Source organism: Homo sapiens, chromosome 9 (assembly GCF_000001405.40).
Source record: "Homo sapiens chromosome 9, GRCh38.p14 Primary Assembly".
Lineage (NCBI taxonomy): Eukaryota > Metazoa > Chordata > Mammalia > Primates > Hominidae > Homo > Homo sapiens.
This window is the reverse complement of record NC_000009.12, coordinates 62447453-62464694: the sequence shown is the minus strand read 5'-3', so window position 1 is coordinate 62464694 and position 17242 is coordinate 62447453. Positions and strand designations below refer to the sequence as shown.

At 47.2% G+C, this 17242-nt stretch overlaps 2 long non-coding RNA genes across 2 annotated transcripts in view; both read right to left on the bottom strand.

The window, feature by feature from the left end:
• Positions 1-12205, bottom strand: part of LINC01189 (long intergenic non-protein coding RNA 1189) — a 69529-nt gene extending 57324 nt beyond the window's left edge. Inside the window, exons 1-2 of the long non-coding RNA NR_046203.2 lie at positions 11748-12205; positions 10282-10470 (exon numbers count right to left, since the gene is read on the bottom strand). This is a non-coding gene — a long non-coding RNA (long intergenic non-protein coding RNA 1189). The remainder of the gene's footprint in view (positions 1-10281; positions 10471-11747) is intronic.
• LOC128966771 (uncharacterized protein FLJ76381) overlaps positions 1-17242 on the bottom strand; it is a 98522-nt gene that overhangs the window by 10159 nt on the left and 71121 nt on the right.

The following is a 17242-nucleotide window of genomic DNA, read 5'->3' as shown; positions in this document are numbered from 1 at the left end:
CAACCTTAGAATCGAGAAAGAAGGCAAAGACCATATCTAATAGACTCATAAGCTCCTTATTAATAATAGTTCAGTAAAGTGTAAATGGGGTAGGTGCCTTTTTTTGCAAAACAAAGTTTCTAGATTCTCTGTGTTGCATTTAGCCAGGCCCTCATTTCTAACCACAGGGTAGATAATCAAGTTAACAAAGACTGTTTTGTCCTTCTATTTCCATATGGACGTCATGTTTCACACCTGCACTCCTGTCTGCTCGGTTCCACAAAGGGACAGTAACCACTGACCGCATTTTAAATGTTCTTTGACTGCTTGCATTTTCAAAAGCACAGCACACGAGCATCTCGGTCAAGATGAGCTGGTAGGACTTCTCCTGACACCCTATTCCCTCACGGTGGACTTCTCACTGGAAACCTCCACTTTGCTGCTTAGCTCAGTGTGTCTCTGCAAATAGGCATGTTTAAGCAAAGAATAAATGCCTAAGGCGATGCAGGTGGGTAGCAGGGGAGAGTCAGGGAGACAAAAAGAACAGTAGCACTTACATGGAGCTCTGCCAGCTTTTGGGCTAACAGGGTCATGAACAGATCAGGAACCTGAGACAATCAAAGGACTTCACCCCACAAAGCCAGGGCACTCTCAGGAGCTGGAAAACCCAGGAGAATTTCCACATATTCCTGAGAGTTCCTCGTGCATTACCTTTAGTGCCTCATTAGCAGGAATGGGTCCTTCTGTAGTTTCACCAGACTGTTTCGCAGTAGAAAGAGGACAGACCAAGGAGCCCCAGTCCCACCTGTGACCTCAGGCAGTCACCTGACACCCCTGAGCCTCAGTTTTCTCATCTGTTCAGTGGGGATGGTATATTCTCCTTACAGGGCTGTGGAAAGGACAACATAATCTTACACAGAAAAAGTAGTACTAAGCTAACATTGGTTGAGTGCCTATTACATTCTACACAACGCGCTAAGTACTTTGCATATTTTGTCTCATTGAATCCTGATGACAACCCTGTGAAGTAGGAACTCTTACTATCCCCCATGCTATGGATGTAGAAGCTGGGGCTCAGAGCAGTTAAGTACCTGGCCAAAGGCCAGAAAGTCAACTAGAATTGATGTGTCCATTTTCATTCATTCATCATTGATTGAGTACCCGTTCCATGCCAGGCAATGAGAAGCAAATCACAAATAGTCCCTGCCCTCATGGCACTGACACTCTTGTTACTGCAAAGTACAAGGTGCAGAGTAAATGGAAGTCAAATCAGATTCCAACTTCTACTCAACTCCCAGTAGGCCCCAGACTAAACTCTCCAGAACAATGGTACTGCTCCTGTGGTTTTGCCTGGTGCTCACGATTGAGACATACTCAAAGAAGAGACTGCTGGCTCTGCAGGTCCTCCAGGGACAGAAACCAGGAATGCTGGCCAATACAGAAACATCATAAACATTTTCCTTGTATTTCATGCATTCCTGGACCCATAGATCTGAAAGCAACCTTGAGAATGAACTGAATTTATTTCTCTGCCTCTGAGGAAGATTACATTTGAACTCTGCGTGACAGAGATCCAGCTAGGGAATCTTCACCTTAAAAACCTGGCTAAACAAAGCTCGTATTCATAAACAGTGAACTTAAGGGCATCCCCATGCCTTTAAATAGTGAACACTCTGGTGCATTTTAAGCAGGACTGATTCAGTGTATTCTCTTAGCACAGTTTTCAGGAATGCAAAATATACCTGTGCCCAGCATCTTAAGGCTTTTAAAAAGTAGATGATGCCTTTTTCTCTGTTCACTTACAAGCTCACGCCTTTAAAATCATTTGTTTGGAAGTCCTTCCTTAAATCTAACCTGAATCCAACCTGCTGTGCTTAAGGTTACCTCAGTAATCTTTCTAATACAACCCAAGAGAGAAGGACTGGAGGGAAGAATTTAAGACCCCCATGAGATGAGGAGCAGACTCCTAAGTTAGTTGTATCACTTGTGGCTAAATGTTGAATCATTTCCCTAATTTTTTCTAGCCACTCCCAGGCACTCCAACTGTCTCTGAGAATTTTCTTCTTGGACACACTTAAAGAAGCATCTGAAATTTGTGCCATGTAGCTTAGCACTTACTCAACAAGGATGAATCTTAGAGACCATCAAGTTTTGCCCAAGCAGGAGAGAAGAGGAAACTGAGATTCAGAGAACTGTGACTTAATCAAGGACCCATAGCAAATCTGTGGCAAACCTGGGAAGGTGACCCAAACTCCAGACCCCAAGCCCGGTGCTTTTTTTTTTTTCCAGATCTATGTCTCCCCCACATCTGACTCTGTTTCCCTGAGGTCCAGAGCCATGCCCTGTTCCTTTTTAGGATTCTCACGACCCAGGTTTAGGCACATTAGTTGTCCAAAGCACACTTGGCTTGCTCTGACTTGAGCAGTACAATGAGCTATGTCTTAGTTTCAGGCAAGACCACCTTGACCATGGGACATGAAAAGGCACTCTATGGGGCCTCTACTATGATGTAGCAGGGACTGTGTTAGCACATTGCTATAGCCCTGGGAAGCAAGAATTCTTAGCACCCATTGCCCAGATGAAGAAACTCACTTTCAGAGAGGGTAAAGAATGTCTCTGTGGTACCACAGCTATATAGTGGCTAGGCTGGAATTCAAAACCAGGTTTGCCTGCCTCCTTCTCCTGTATGATACTGCTTCATACACAGTCCCCAGAACCTTAACGACCAGGTGGAACGAACCAACAAGGTCATACTGAAATTGTGCACCAGTGCCCTAACGACCAAGAGAAAATACATTTCATCCAATTCAAAGGTATAAAGATGTAAGGTAGAAGCCACCAACTGTGGACATGGAGGAGCCTCAGAGCGACAGCACCTGCTGTCCAGGGTCTCCTCCTCCTCTCTTCCCTCGCAGTTTCTCTCTCCCTTCCTTTAACACTTATTGACTACGCCAGCCACACAGTAAGCGCTCAATAAGTGTTTGGGCCCATAACCTTCCTATGGGAAAGCCCCTTCACTTTCTGAACATGGCCTGGTACTGTCCAGATGCCCTTCTGTCCTGTGTGGTCCCAGGCAGGGGCATCTCCTTCTCTTCCAGGACCACTCTGAACCCTAACTTGATGGCAGCTGCCTGGTGATCTCATCATCCTCCTGACATGGCCATGTAGCTCCTCAGCTTCCATCATTCCTGAATCTCTGCAAGGTTATGGGGTTGCCTTGCTCCAGAGGACACAAAAGTGCTTAGCTCTGCTTGGATTTGCTCTTGGATGGTGGAGACCTGTGATTGCTCTTCCGCTCCCTTGAGCCTTCCTCATGGAGGTTTGCTGAGGCACAGTCTGTGATTGATTCCTCATGCCCCTGCTAGGTTTTAACAACTGGTGAAAACGTCTGCTTATATTTCACTCACACTCCCCTGGCTGCGGGTTCAAGTCACTGTTGATTTGGTCATTGGGTTACACACACGTGCAGCCTGGGTGGACCTGTATGAGTCTTCCCAGCATCAGCAGCCTTGACCTCTCATGAGGTCACTCCCCTAGGCTTTGAGAACCACTCCTTGAATATCATCTTGGAACGTGTAAAACAAACAACAAGAAGTTTGAAAGGGCTCAGGACTCTGCATTTGAAGAATCAAACTATACTATCTTCTGGGCAAGTCACTCCCCTCCTTGGACATGAGTTATTCCATTCATAAAAGGGAAGAACAGGGATAGATAAGCTTATAGGTCCCTTCTGCACCCAGGCTCTGCCTGATTCTGCTGAACCACAACTTCGGGAGGGTGGCCAAGAGGTCTTTCTGGTCCCTGGCTGACCGCTTTCATCTATTCCCTTAACCTGAGGTCTGAAAACACATTTTTTTTTTTTGGCTTCAAAATACAAAAAGAGAAAACTGAAAAATTGAAATAGATAAAAGTTTAATTAAATGTCTACATAATGGAATGTTATGTAAACATCATTGTTAAGGTTGATGTTCATACAAATTGTATTACACTTAAAAACAATTCGTTCCTTAGAATTACTCACCTTGAAAGGGTTTCCAAATACGTCCAGCGATTGCTAAGGCCTCATAGCCATGAGTTAGTCACAGCCAACCACAAGCAAAATCATTAAAACCTCTTTTAAACATACTACAGCAAATAATAATAATAATTAACGTGAAATGTGGGTGACTTTCAGTATGTTTGATAAAATGTGGGGTGAAATCTCCAAAAGGAAGAGCGTTCAGGGTCTTCAAAAGTCTTAGGATTACTCTAGAACCAGAGTATAGAACATGCACTCATATTTATAAATCACTTACTCTGTGCCAGGCTCTTCTGAAGCCCTTCCCATGCATTAACTCACTTAATTGGTGAGACAGTTCTTGAGGTAGACACAATTACCATTCCCATTCTACAGGTGAGGAAACTGGCTAAGCAAGTAAGTGGCACAGCTAGAATGGAAATCAATGGTGCCAGGGCTCATGTTCTCAGCCACCTTACCACATACAAAGCTTGCCATGCCGGGTGTTTCCCCAGGAGAAAACAAGTGCTGGCAGGTTGAGAAGGGAGGGAGGTGCATCTCCCTAATGAGGAGTGCACTTGACACTGCGTTAAATGGAACCCATTCCTCTCTCGGCTCTACTGCTACTTGCTAACTCCTCCGTGGTTCTCTTCTGCCCACAGAGGTCTCCTCTGTAGCTGACTCTCAGCCTTGCCTAATGCTATTAATAATAAAGAGGTGATGTTATTGAGAGCTCTATCAGCATTTTATATAGGACTTAATCTCATTCAATCCCCATGACCTCCATTTCATAAACAAGGGAATTGGGGGTTTAGAGAACTGAAACAATTTGTCCACAGTCACATAGCTCTCAGAAATAGTAGAAGCCAGGATTCACACTCCAATCTTATTCTAAAGCCCAAATTCTCTCTTTTTTTTTTTTGAGACGGAGTCTTGCTCTGTCTCCCAGGCTGGAGTGCAATGGCGCCATCTCGGCTCACTGCAACCTCTGCCTCCCAGGTTCAAGTGATTCTCCTGCCTCAGCCTCCTGAGTAGCTGGGATTACAGGCACCTGCCACCAGGCCCAGCTAATTTTTTGTATTTTTAGTAGAGATGGGGTTTCACCATGTTGGCCAGGCTGGTCTCAAAATTCTGACCTCGTGATCCGCCCACCTCGGCCTCCCCAAGTGCTGGGATTACAGGTGTGAGCCACCATGCCCGGCCCCAAATTATCTTTTAATTATAAAGATATACATATTGTTTAAACAATTCAATAAATATGTATACTGAATAACAAAGTGAAGCCTTCCCTTTACCACAATCAGCCTACTGTTCTCTCTCTATCTGAGGCTCTCTTCCTACGTTCCACTGTCCCAGACTTCTGCAAAGTATTTATGTATCTGTTTAGGTATCTGTCCATCTTTCCATTCTTTTCTCAATTATATATTCTCGTGGTTTCACTCTCCATGCGGCAACTCTACATCCAGGATCAAAACGGCATCAAAGGAAGCTTGGAACAGTGACAACCCCTACCTGAGATGTCTCCATTCCGGGGGAAGGCTGCCTGGTGCCTGATATCCATGAGATTAGGGAAAGCAGGTGGGGTCCTGTCCACCCCCTCTATTCCAGAACGCTTGGCAGGGTTTCTGTGGCTAACATGCCAGTTGTATCAACTCCCGCACAGTCTCATGTGAAGTGCCACACTACGTTCTCAACCTGGAAGGTTTCAGGGCTCAGCTGGCTCAGATCCCATGTGTGGGGAGCATTAAGAAAAATAGGCCACCTGTATAAGACTAGTGGCAAAAATCTGACTCGGTGCTACTTCTCTGTTTGTCCTTTACTTAAAAGGAGAACCATAATTAAAATGATCCAGAAAAGAGAACCAAGCAGGAGACTGAGTTGCTTGGGGAAAGGACCATGCTGCATTGATTTTTACATAACCAATGCCAGCAGTGCATCGGGTACACAACAGGTTCTCAATAAATTGTTAAATGGATAAGTTGATAGAATAAAAAACAAGGTCTCTTCCCACTGCTGCATGCAAAAAAGCTCAGAGTGAATTCTTATTTGCAAAGATGAGAGATTTTTAGTCTTCTGATGGCTGTTTCCTCCTCTCTGTTTTCTTTGCCACAGTTTAGGGGCAAAGAAAAGTTTCTACCTCTCTGAAATGGTAGGAGAAACCCTTGGGGCTTAGGTAGCAAATCAGGCTCTCTCTTTCACATGTTGTGAGAAAAGAAATATTTAACCATCAGCACCAACAATGTCATTTGCATAAGGGAGTGACTTCCTGGCTGAGAGATGGTCAGAATAACATAGAGCCTAGAGTGAAGGCAGTCAAGTTTGTGAGCCTAGGGCTCTGCTTCTGGTGTCTGCTTCATGGCTGTGTGATCTTGGGCAAGTTTCCTACATTTTCTGCTTCTCAGTTTTGTCATCCATAAAATGATAACAACAGTACCTGCCTCAAATAGTGTGTGGAAGAGGCTTAAACAAGCTAATGTAAGTCAAATCTTGAGCACAATCCCTGGTGTAGCTATACATGTTTGTGTATATATCAGAAGCTCAAAATTCTACCATTAGTATTAATAACATACTCTGGACCCTCATTATAATGCTATTCTCAATATCCCAACACTTGATTTCTATTGACAACTCCTAGGCTCAACTGTTCCTCCCACCTCAGCCTCCCGAGTAGCTGGGAATACAGCCACCATGGATGGCTAATTTTTAATTTTTTTTTTTTGTAGAGACAGGGTCTTGCTATGTTGCCCAGGCTGGTCTCAAACTCCTGGCCTCAAGAAATCCTCCCACCTGGACCTCCCCAACTGCTAGGATTTACAGGCATAGCCACCATGCCCAGCTCCCTTCCTCCCCTTTGTTCTCCTAACCCCATCTCAGCATCTGCCCCCGAGGACCAATGCAACAGGGCAATCAGTACATCTGTGAACTTCCCAACAGTCCTGTGGTGGACTAACCCAGGGACAATGGTCACTGTCCCCTCTGGTGCATTATTTGTCCCCATCAGCCTAGTAAGCTCCGGGGGCTGGCAGCTGGCACAGAGTACGAGGCTGCACTCCTTGACCTTTCTATGCTGCACACAGTCCTGTGCCCATCCTGTCCTCAGATCTGCCAGGGCCATGACCAACCTGCCAAGAGCGTGGGAATTGGTATGTGACCCAGCTCTAGGAGGAGGTGGAGCAAGCGAATGTAGGGGAAGCTGCTCCCCCAGTAGGTTTAGAGGGAGGGTGGGGAGGGGGTGCAGAAGGGCCAGGTGGGTGAGGGTGTGCGGGTAAGGGTGTGGGGGTGTGCAGGTGAGGGTGTGCAGGTGTGGGTGGGGGTGTGTGGGTGAGGGTGTGTGGGTGTGGGTGGGGGTGTGTGGGTGTGGGTGAGGGTGTGTGGGTGGGGGTGGGCGGGTGAGGGTGTGGGGGTGAGGGTGTGTGGGTTAGGGTGTGAGTGCCTGTCTGGCTCTCCTGGGTGGGGCTGGATGAATGTTTGGGCACAGGCAGCGGCTGTCACATGGCCTGGCTGCAGGTTTGGGACAGAAGCCAGGCGGGTGGGCTGTGTCAGGCACAGCTACAAACTGTGCCAAGGAAGTGGACCAGAGCAGGGGCCCAGGGAAACCTCTGCCTTAGCAGAAGATACTGGGGAGACGGGATCAATCGGGGAGGTCTTCCGAGGCACATGGTGCTTCATGGAGCCATGGCCCAGGACAGGGAGGGTGTAACCCTGGCTTGCCTGATTGGCTGAGCACAGACAGATAGAAGAGGGTGTGGGCAGCCCGCTAGGTGGATGCCTAAGTGAGGAAGGAATGGGTGGCCAGGTGACTGAGACCCCCAAGACCAGGACCCCGCTGTCAGGTCTGTGGCTTCCAAACGCCTGTGGGAAGTGTTCCCCTTTGGACACTGAGGCCATCAGCTTCAGCTTCACACCCTTTTCCAGAAAAAGTCCCTCGGGTAACCTCAAAAGTCACTTCTGGCCTTCCCCAGAGGGGAAAGGAGAGGGGTGCCTGTGGGCAGGTGACCCTCAGTGCTGGTGGAGGGCACAGCAGAGAGACTGCCTGTATGTGGGAGGCCCCCAGCAGACCTTGCCCAGATGCCAGCCCTCATTTGAGGCAAACTGTAAAATTATTACAATTTAGGCCAGGCGCAGTGGCCCATGCCTGTAATCCCAGCACTTTGGGAGGCCATGGCAGAAGGACTGTCTGAGCCTGCAGTGAGCTATGACTACACCCCTGCACTTCAACCTGGTCAACAGAGGAAGACACTGTATCTAAAATAAATAGGCTTGGCATGGTGGCTCACACCTGTAATCCCAGCACTTTGGGAGGCCGAGGCAGGTGGATCACCTGAGGTGAGGAGTTCGAGACCGGCATGATCAATATGGTGAAACCTCATCTCTACTAAAAACACAAAAATTAGCCGGTCGTGGTGGCCCGTGCCTGTAATCCCAGCTACTCAGGAGGCTGAGGCAGGAGAAATCGCTTGAACCCAGGAGGCAGAGGTTGCGGTGAGCCAAGGTCACGCTACTGCACTCCAGCCTGGGCGACAGAGTGAGACTCCACCTCAAGATAATAAATAAGATGGGAAAGCTACGTTCCTAACATTTTTCAAATGATAATTCATACTAAAGAATGTTACCAAGACTAACGCACAAAGCATTTTATAACTTTTAGACTATTAATAAAAAGTAAGACATGAAAACTGAAGTATTTGTAATCATGCTTAATATTGGAAGTTCCTATACCTGCAATGTAGCAGCTAATTATACAAAAATTTAATAAACGACAAAATAAAATTTTGCAAACAGATTTGTAAAAACCAGAAAGAAATTTGTATTGGCAATTAATGTAACATAATTAAAAATAATTTGTTATGGTCATCTGCTAAATGCTAATTAATGTAAAATGTTAAAAGATTATTTTAATTATGACATCTTAATTTTTAATGGCTTTAAATATTATAAATATAAAAAACAGGTTTCTAAATTTAAAAGAAAAATGACTAAATTTTTCAGAATTATTTCGTATTTCTTGTCATACAACATAAGAACACCATCCATGTTTCCTTTTAGATTAGGAACCCTCCCTTATTAGCTCACTGAAAGGAGAATGCTGGAAGGTGCTAGTAAGATGACTGTCTAAGGACTCCAGAACTGAAAGAATGGTTTTGTGGCAATGCATGTCACTTCCCTAACTCAACTGGAAAAGGAGAAAAAAACCTAGTGTTTTCAACCCTCAAGCTAGCAAGAAAACACAGCCCAGGTAAGTTCATCTCTTCTCCAATGGAGCTGGAGTCTACTCAACAAGAGGTGACCATTTAGAATAGAATTGTTCAGAAGTTTGCTAACAATAAGCAGCCAACATAGACACATTCTCCATTAAATCTAAAATTCCCTTTTCCCCCACTAGGGTGCCTGAGGGGCATGTAGCAAAAGTGATCCCAACCACACCACGCAAACTAGCCAGGAAACCTTTTTGCCTTCACACATCTGAGAGTCCCTGAGAAGCCGGAGACAACACGGAGGCAGCAGAACACCAACAGGAGAGTCCCAGCATCACTTCCTGGCCATAGAAGCCCTCCTGAGCAGCAGGCAGAACAGAATCCACTACAGCAATCAGCCTGCCAGAGAAGCCTCTGCCCCTGTGGCCTGAGGTTCCACTTTCCCCAGGTGACACCATGGGCAGGTGGGCTGAAGAAGTGGGAAGGTCAAATCAACTGGCCCAGCCAGGATGCCTCTTTGATGATACAAGTGATACCGGTCTAAGCCTCCCCTCTTCCGCAGGGAAACTAGGTGGCCCAAAGGGTGCCCAGAGGCAGGGGACCTGCCACAGCAGCCATCCTCCTGAGAGGTTCCCTTTCTTCCCCTTGGTGAACTCCCTCCAACACACAGCTTGCCAGCAAAGCACCCTTTGTCTTACATGGGGGGATCCCACCACACCAAAACCCAGCCAAAGAAGCCTTTTGTCCTTTAAGGGTTATCACAACCAAAAACAAAAAGATACACAATAGTAAGCCCCTAAATTCTGTTAAGAATGAAACAGTGCTGCCACTCACACCTGGCTCAGATGCCAGCAGGAGGGCACCCACCAGAGACCGCAGGAGAAGGGGGCGGACTCCTTGCTCTGGCTGCACCTCCACCACTGTCACTGAGGCCTGTGGTACAGAACCAGCAGCTTCTTACCCACCCCAGGCCGGACCGGGCCCCAAAGCTCTCCTACTCCCCCTTCCTGGCCCCTAGACTTGCTGCTGCTGCCACCATTAGCGCCGATGCCAAAGGAACCAGCGCTGCTGTCACCCTCCATGCACCTGCCCACCCTCCAAGGCTCCTACCACTTGGCCTCCACGGGTACCCTCCTACCGCTCCTGTTGAGCTGCCGTCTCCATCACCGTGGCCGCCACAACAGCAGGAGATGAATCACAGAGCTGTGCCATCTTCAGGCTCCAACCTCCAGTCACCACAGGGGACTCCTCCTTCATCAGCCTGGCTTGGAGTAGCTGGGCAGACAATGCCAGAAAAACCTACAACAGGATGCAGAAAGTGGCAGTGTTAGAGCCTCACCTTGTCATGCTGGCCACTGGGTGGCTGGGGCCAGTTTCAGCAAAGGCACTCACACCCACCCTCCAAAGTCCAGCCTCTCCTCCTAGACCAAGCTGGCCTCCTGACCTGGGGTGGGGACTGGAGACACCACAGTGCCCGGGGCTCCTTGGGGAGCAAGAATAGCAGAAACTCAGACCCAGCCAGTCTTCCCCACCCAAGTACCAGTTCCCATTCCTGAATCCTCCACCCACAGGACCCTGAGCCTCCGTGGTGCCCACTACTCCATGCCTGGGGCTCCCAGATAGTCTCCACAACACAGAGCAAGAGGGCAAGGGCTGGGTAACCATGGTGGGTGTGAGGGCCCTGCGGTGGTCAGAGGATTGCTGCGAAAACTCTGTGCACCCTCCGTGCTCCAACACGAGCAGAAATTGTTCACCCTCTAGAGCCTTGAGTCCGGGAAGAGGAGAAGGGCCCCTTCCTCAGAGGCCACCACTGTCGTGGCCACCTCCACAACCTGCTGCTGGCAGCAGAAGTGCAACCTCCCCCCATAGCGCCCCTAACCTGCCCCCCCCCACCACAAACTTAGCCCCTGGATTGTGCACACAACACACCCAGAGACTGCTGCAGGCAGTGTAACCCTGATAGCGCCCCCAAACCACCCCTCTGCTCCTGGCAGTGTAACACTCGATAGTGTCCACAACCCATCCCCACCACGGGTGTTGCAGCACCAAATAGTGCCCCATCAAACCTGCCCCCCACCCGGACCACAAGCAGCACAGCCCCAGATAGCACCCCCAATCTGCTCCTGTCGCGGGCAGTGAACGCCAGGGGTAGTGCACCCAACCAACCCCCCGACCCCACCTTCCCCTTTCCCCCACGGACAATGCAACATTTGACAGCTCCCCTAAAGCACCCCCGACTGCCTGCCAGTTGGCATTGCTGCTGACATTGTAGCTCACGATAGCTCACCCAACCCGCCCCCTGGATCGGCCAGTGCAGCAGCTAATAATGCCCCTAACCCCCCGCCACTTGCCGCTGGTAGTGCACGACAGCACACACAACCTGCCTCCAACCCCCCGCCACCTTAGGCAGTGTAGACCCTGATAGCGCAGCAAACCTGCCCCACTGCCAGCAATTCAACACCCGATAGCGCCACCCACCAGCCACCCACGGCAGGCAGTGCAGCCCCAAAAGCACACCAAACCCACTCCCCCACCACCCCACAAGCGGGCAGTGCAGCCGCAGAGAGCGCACCTACCCTGCCACCTTTCTACTACTTGACAGAGATGCAGTCTCCGTCGCCACCACCAACCGCAGCCAGGCGAGCCGCCAGGGCCAAGGCTCCAGCCGCCAGCATTGGGCATGGTCCCCACCTTCTCCTAGACCTCTAGCTGGTCAAGAGCAGCTCCAGCTGCCAGCCACCCCCCTACCGCTCCGGCTGCCAGCCACCCCCCTACCGCTCCGGCTGCCATCTTACTGCTCCAGCCTCCCGCCTAGCGCTCCGGCCGCCATCTTACTGCTCCAGCCCCCCTCCTACTGCTCAGACTACCCTCCTACCGCTCAGGCCGCCCTCCTAAGACTTCAGCCGCGCTGCCATCTCTGTTGCCACCACCATCCAGAGCGAGACGAGCCATGGTGTTACAGGCTCCAGCCTCCAGCTCCCCCTTCTCCTGGTCCTCTAAGCCGGGAACAGAGCAGCTCGGCAGGAGATACTGGAGAGCCTAAACTGGCGTGAGGCCTCCTCAACATGCACATGGGGTTACGTGGGTGGTTTCTGGACTACATGTTCTGATTGGGTGAGAGAAAACCTCTAGGCCTTCTCTGATTGGACTTTATTTTCATACTCTGATTGGTTGTCCTAAGACTTTCTTTCATCCAATCAGAACATAACAAAGTCCAATCAGAGTAGGCCTCCAGGCTTTCTCTTATCCAGTCCTGGAACGTGTAGTCCAGGAACGGCATATGCATAACTTCAGTACATAAGTGGTGCTGAAGAAGAGTCAGGCCACTCCAGGTTCTTCTGTGTCTGCTCACTGAGCTGCTCCAAGCCCGGCTTAGAGGACCAGGACAGACTGGAGGCTGTAGCCTGCAGCACTGTGGCTTGGCCTCCCTGCAGTTGGTGGCGACAGAGACTGTAGTGTGGCTGGAGCGGTAAGAAGGGGAAAATACTTTTGGGATAGATGGAAGGGTAAAGAGGGTGGTTAGTGCCAAAAGGAAAAAAGGATGGTGAGCCGGAGAAGGCATTGCATAAAGACAGTAAGGAAAAGATGTTGGGGGGAAAAAATGGGGGGTAGATGGAGGGGGAAAAACAGGGTGGTGAACAGGAGGGAGAGAAGGTTTCACAGAAAGGCAGTGGGGAAAAAGTTTTTGGGTAGATGGAAGGGGGTAAGAGAGGGTCGTGAGGGGGGAACAGGGATGAGCAGGAAGGAGAGAAGGTTTGCAAAAATACGGTGGGGAGAAAAGAAAGGGAAAGAAGACTGTGGGTAAAAAGATTTTGAGTGGATGGAGGGGGGAAAAGGGTGACAAGTGGGAGGAGAAAAGAGGGTGCAGAGAGGGAGGGGGAAGAGAGAGTGGCGAGCAGGAGGGAGAGAAGGTTTTGCGAAAAGACAGTGAGGAGAGAAGCTTTTAGGTAGATGGAGGGGGGAAGAGGGTGGCCATTGGGAGAAAGATAAAGAGGGTGGCGAGTGGGAAAGAGAAAAGGTTTTGCGAAAAGACGATAGGCAGAAAAGAAAGTGTAGAAAGAAAAGACAGTGGGTAAAAAGTGTTTGGGTAGATGGAGGGGGAAAAGAGGGTAGCAAGTGGGAGGAGAATAGAAAGTGTGGCCAAAGGGAGTGGGGAAAGAGGACTGGGAAAAAGGCGATGGGGAAAATAGTTTGGGGTAGATGGAGGGCAAAAAGAGGGTGGCAAGCAGGATAGAGGAAAGAAGAGGGCGAGCGGGAAGCAGGGAAGGCTTTGTGAAAAGATGGCAGGGAAAAATTGGGGAGGTAGATGGGTTAAAAGAGCGTGGTGAGCAGGAGTAGAGAAGAGGCTTTGCAAAAAGACGGCGGGAAAATGTTTTTGGGTAGATGGAGAAGGGAAAGGGTGGCAAGGAGGAAGGGAGAAAAAGACAATAGGGAAACAGTTTTTGGGTAGATGGAAGGGGAAAGAGGGTGGCGAGCAGCAGGAGTGGGGAGAAGGCTTTGGGAGAAGATGAGGGAAATGTTTTTGGGGAGATGAAGGAGCAAAAGAGGATGATGAGAACGGGAGGCGGAAAAAAGGGTGGCCAGGGAGAGGGAGAAAAGACGGTGGGGAAAAGTTTTGGAGTAGATGGGTGGGGAAAACGGAAGTGAGTGGTAAAGTATAGAAGGCTTTGCAAAAAGACAGTGGGGAAAAAATGGTGGGGAAAAAGTTTTGGGGTAGATGGAGGAAGAAAAAGGGTGGCAAGAGAGGGAGCCAAAGACGGTCGGCAAAAAAATTCCTCCTGTTACTGATTTTTTAATACTTTTCCACTCCGGTCAGAAAAAATAATTGATATGATTTCAGGGTTTTTTTGTTTTGTTTTGTTTTGCTTTGGTTTGGTTTGGTTTGGTTTTTTGAGATGGAGTCTCGCTCTGTTGCCCAGGCTGGAGTGCAGTGGTGTGATCTTGGCTCACTGCCACCTCCACCTCCCGGGTTCAAGCCATTCTTTTGCCTCAGCCTCCTGAGTAGCTGGGATTACAGGCATGCGCCACAACGCCCAGCTAATTTTGCATTTTTAGTTCTAAATGGGGTTTCTCCATGTTGGTCAGGCTGGTCCCAACCTCTGTTGATTGGCCCACCTCTGCCTTCCAAAGTGCTGGGATTACAGGTGTGAGCCACCACATCTGGCAAGGATGTTGAATTTTGTTGAATTTTTTTTCTGCATCTATTGAGATAATCATATGATTTTTGTTTTAAATTCCGTTTATGTGGTAAATCACATTTATTGATTTGCATATGTTAAATAGTCCTTGCATCCCAGGAATAAAACCTATGTAATCACGATGAGTTACATTTTTGATATGCTGATGGATTTGGTTTGCTAGCATTTTGTTGAGGATATTTGCATCTATGTTCATCAGCTATTGGCCTGTAGTTTGTTGTTGTTGTTTCCTTGCTAGATTTTAGTGTCAGGATGATATTGGTTTTGTAGAATGAGTTAGAGAGGAATTCCTTCTCCTCAATGTTTTAGAATGGTTGCAGTAAGATTGATACCATCTGTTTTTTTGTATGGTAAAATTCAGCTGTGAATTCATCTAGTTCTGGGCTTCTCCTGCTTGATAAATATTTTTATTACAAATTCAATTTCATAATTAACTACTGGTCTGTTCAGATTTTTTTAAATTTATAGAGAAAAAATATTTATTTGGTTTATAGTTGTGCAGGCAGTAGAAGCATGGGACCAGCACCTGCTCAGGTTTGGATGAGACCTCAGAAAGCATCCAATCACAGAGGAAGGCAAAGGGAGGGCCAGTGTATCACGTGTCAAGAGAGAAATCAAGAGCAAGAAGGGGAACATGGCAGGCTGTTTTAAACAACCAGCTCTCGTGTGACACAACAGAGCAAGGACTCGCTTATCGCCAAGGGGATGGAGCTAAGCAATTTATGAAGGGTCCACCCCCATGATTCAACACCTTCAACTAGGCCCACCACCAACATTTAAGATCACAGTCAACAAGAAATTTGGAGGGTAAACACATCCAAACAATGTCATTTCACCCCTATGGCCCCCAAATCTCATGTCCTTCTCATATTGCACAATTATCCTCTCCCAGTAGTCCCTAAAAATCTCAAGCTGTTTCAGCATCAACTCAAAAGTCCGAAGTCTCATCTGAGCTTCAAGGTATGTTCCTCCATCTATGAGCCTATAAGATCAAAACCAAGTTATTTGCTTCCAATATTCAATGCAGTACAGGTGTTGGGTAAATATTCCCATTCCTAAATGGAGAAGTTGGGCAAAAGAAAGGGGCAACAGGCCTCAGGCAAATCTGAAACCCAGTAGGGCAGACATTAAACTTTCAAGCTCCAAAATAATTCTTGATTTCATGTCCTGCATCCAGGGCACACTTGTGCAAGGGGTGGATTCCCAAGACCTTATGCAGCTCTGCCTCTGTGGCTTTGCAGTGCACAGTCACCATGGCTGCTGTCTTGGATCAGAGTTGAGTGCCTGTGGTATTTCTAGGCTCAGGATGAAAGCTTCCCGTGGCTCTACCATTCAGGGATCTCGAGGTGGCGGCCCCATTCCCACAGCTCCAGTAGGTAGTGCCCCAGTGGGGACTCTGTGTGGAGGCTTCAATCCCACATTTCCTATTGGCACTGCCCTAGTGGACTTTTGGTTTCTTTCTGATTCAGTCTTGGAAGGTGGTGTGTTTGCAGGAATTTATCCGTTTTCTCTAGGTTTTCTAGTTTATGCTCACAAAGATATTCTGAGGATCTTTTTTTATGTCGGTGGTATCCTTTGCAATGTCTCATTTGTCATTTTTGACTGTGCTTATTTGAATCTTCTTTTTTTCTTGCATAATCTAACTAGCAATCTATCATTTTTATGTGTACTTGCAAAGAACCAACTTTTTAATTTTGCTGATTCCTTGTATGGTTTTTTTGGTCCCGATTTCATTAACTTATTCTCTAACTTTTGTTATTTCCTTCTACTAGCTTTGGGTTTGGTTTGTTCTTTTTTAGTGTGTTTGGCTATTTTAGCTTGTTAATTTGAGATCTTTCTCTCTTTTTATGTAGGCATTTAGTGTTATAAACTCTCCTCTTAACATTGTTTTTTCTGTATCCCAGACGTTTTGGTATGTTACGTTTCTATTTTCATTTGTTTCAGGAATTTCTTTAAATTTCTGCCTTAATTCTGTTATTTACACAAAAGTCATTAAGGAGCAGATTGTTTAGTTTCCATGTACCTCTGTGGTTCTGAGAGTTCTTGATATTGACTTCTAATTTTATTCCACAGTGGTCTGAGAAGATACTTAATATAGTTATGACTTTTAAAAATTTATTGAGGCTTATTTTATGACTGAGCATGTGGTCAATTTTAGGGAATGTTCCATGTGCAAATGAGAAAAATGTACATTCTGTGGTTTCTGGGTAGAGTATTCTGTAGATATCTATTAGGTCTGTTTGGTCAAGAGCCCAATTTGAGTCCACAGTTTCATTGTTAGTTTTCTGCCTAATAATCTGCCTAACTAATAATCTGCTTACTACTGTCGGTGGGGTGTTGAAGTCCTCCATGATTATTGTACAGCTGTGTATCTCTTTTCTTAGGTCTAGTAATATTTATTCTAAAAATCCGGTTGCTTCAATGTAGGCTGCATATATATTTGAGACAGTTAAGTCTTCTTGTTGAATTGAACACTTTATCATTATATAATGCCATTCTTTGTATTTTTTTTGTACTGTTGTTAGTTTAATGTCTGTTTTATCTGATACAAGAATAGCAATACCTCTCTGTTTTTGTTTTTCATTTATGTGATGAATCTTTTTCCATCCATTTACTTTGAGCCTGTTGGTATCATTACACATGAGATGGGTCTCTCAAAGGCAGCAGAAGTGTCTTGTTTTTTTATTCAGTTTGCCACTCTGTGTCTTTTAAGTGGAGCATTTCAGCCATTTGCACTCAAGCTTAATATTGATGTGTTAGGTTTTCTTCCTTTTATAGCATTAGCTAGTTACCTTGTAGTCTCAATTGTTTAATTGCTTTATAGGTTCCGTACATTTTGTATTCATGTATGCTTTTATGGTAGCAAGTATCAT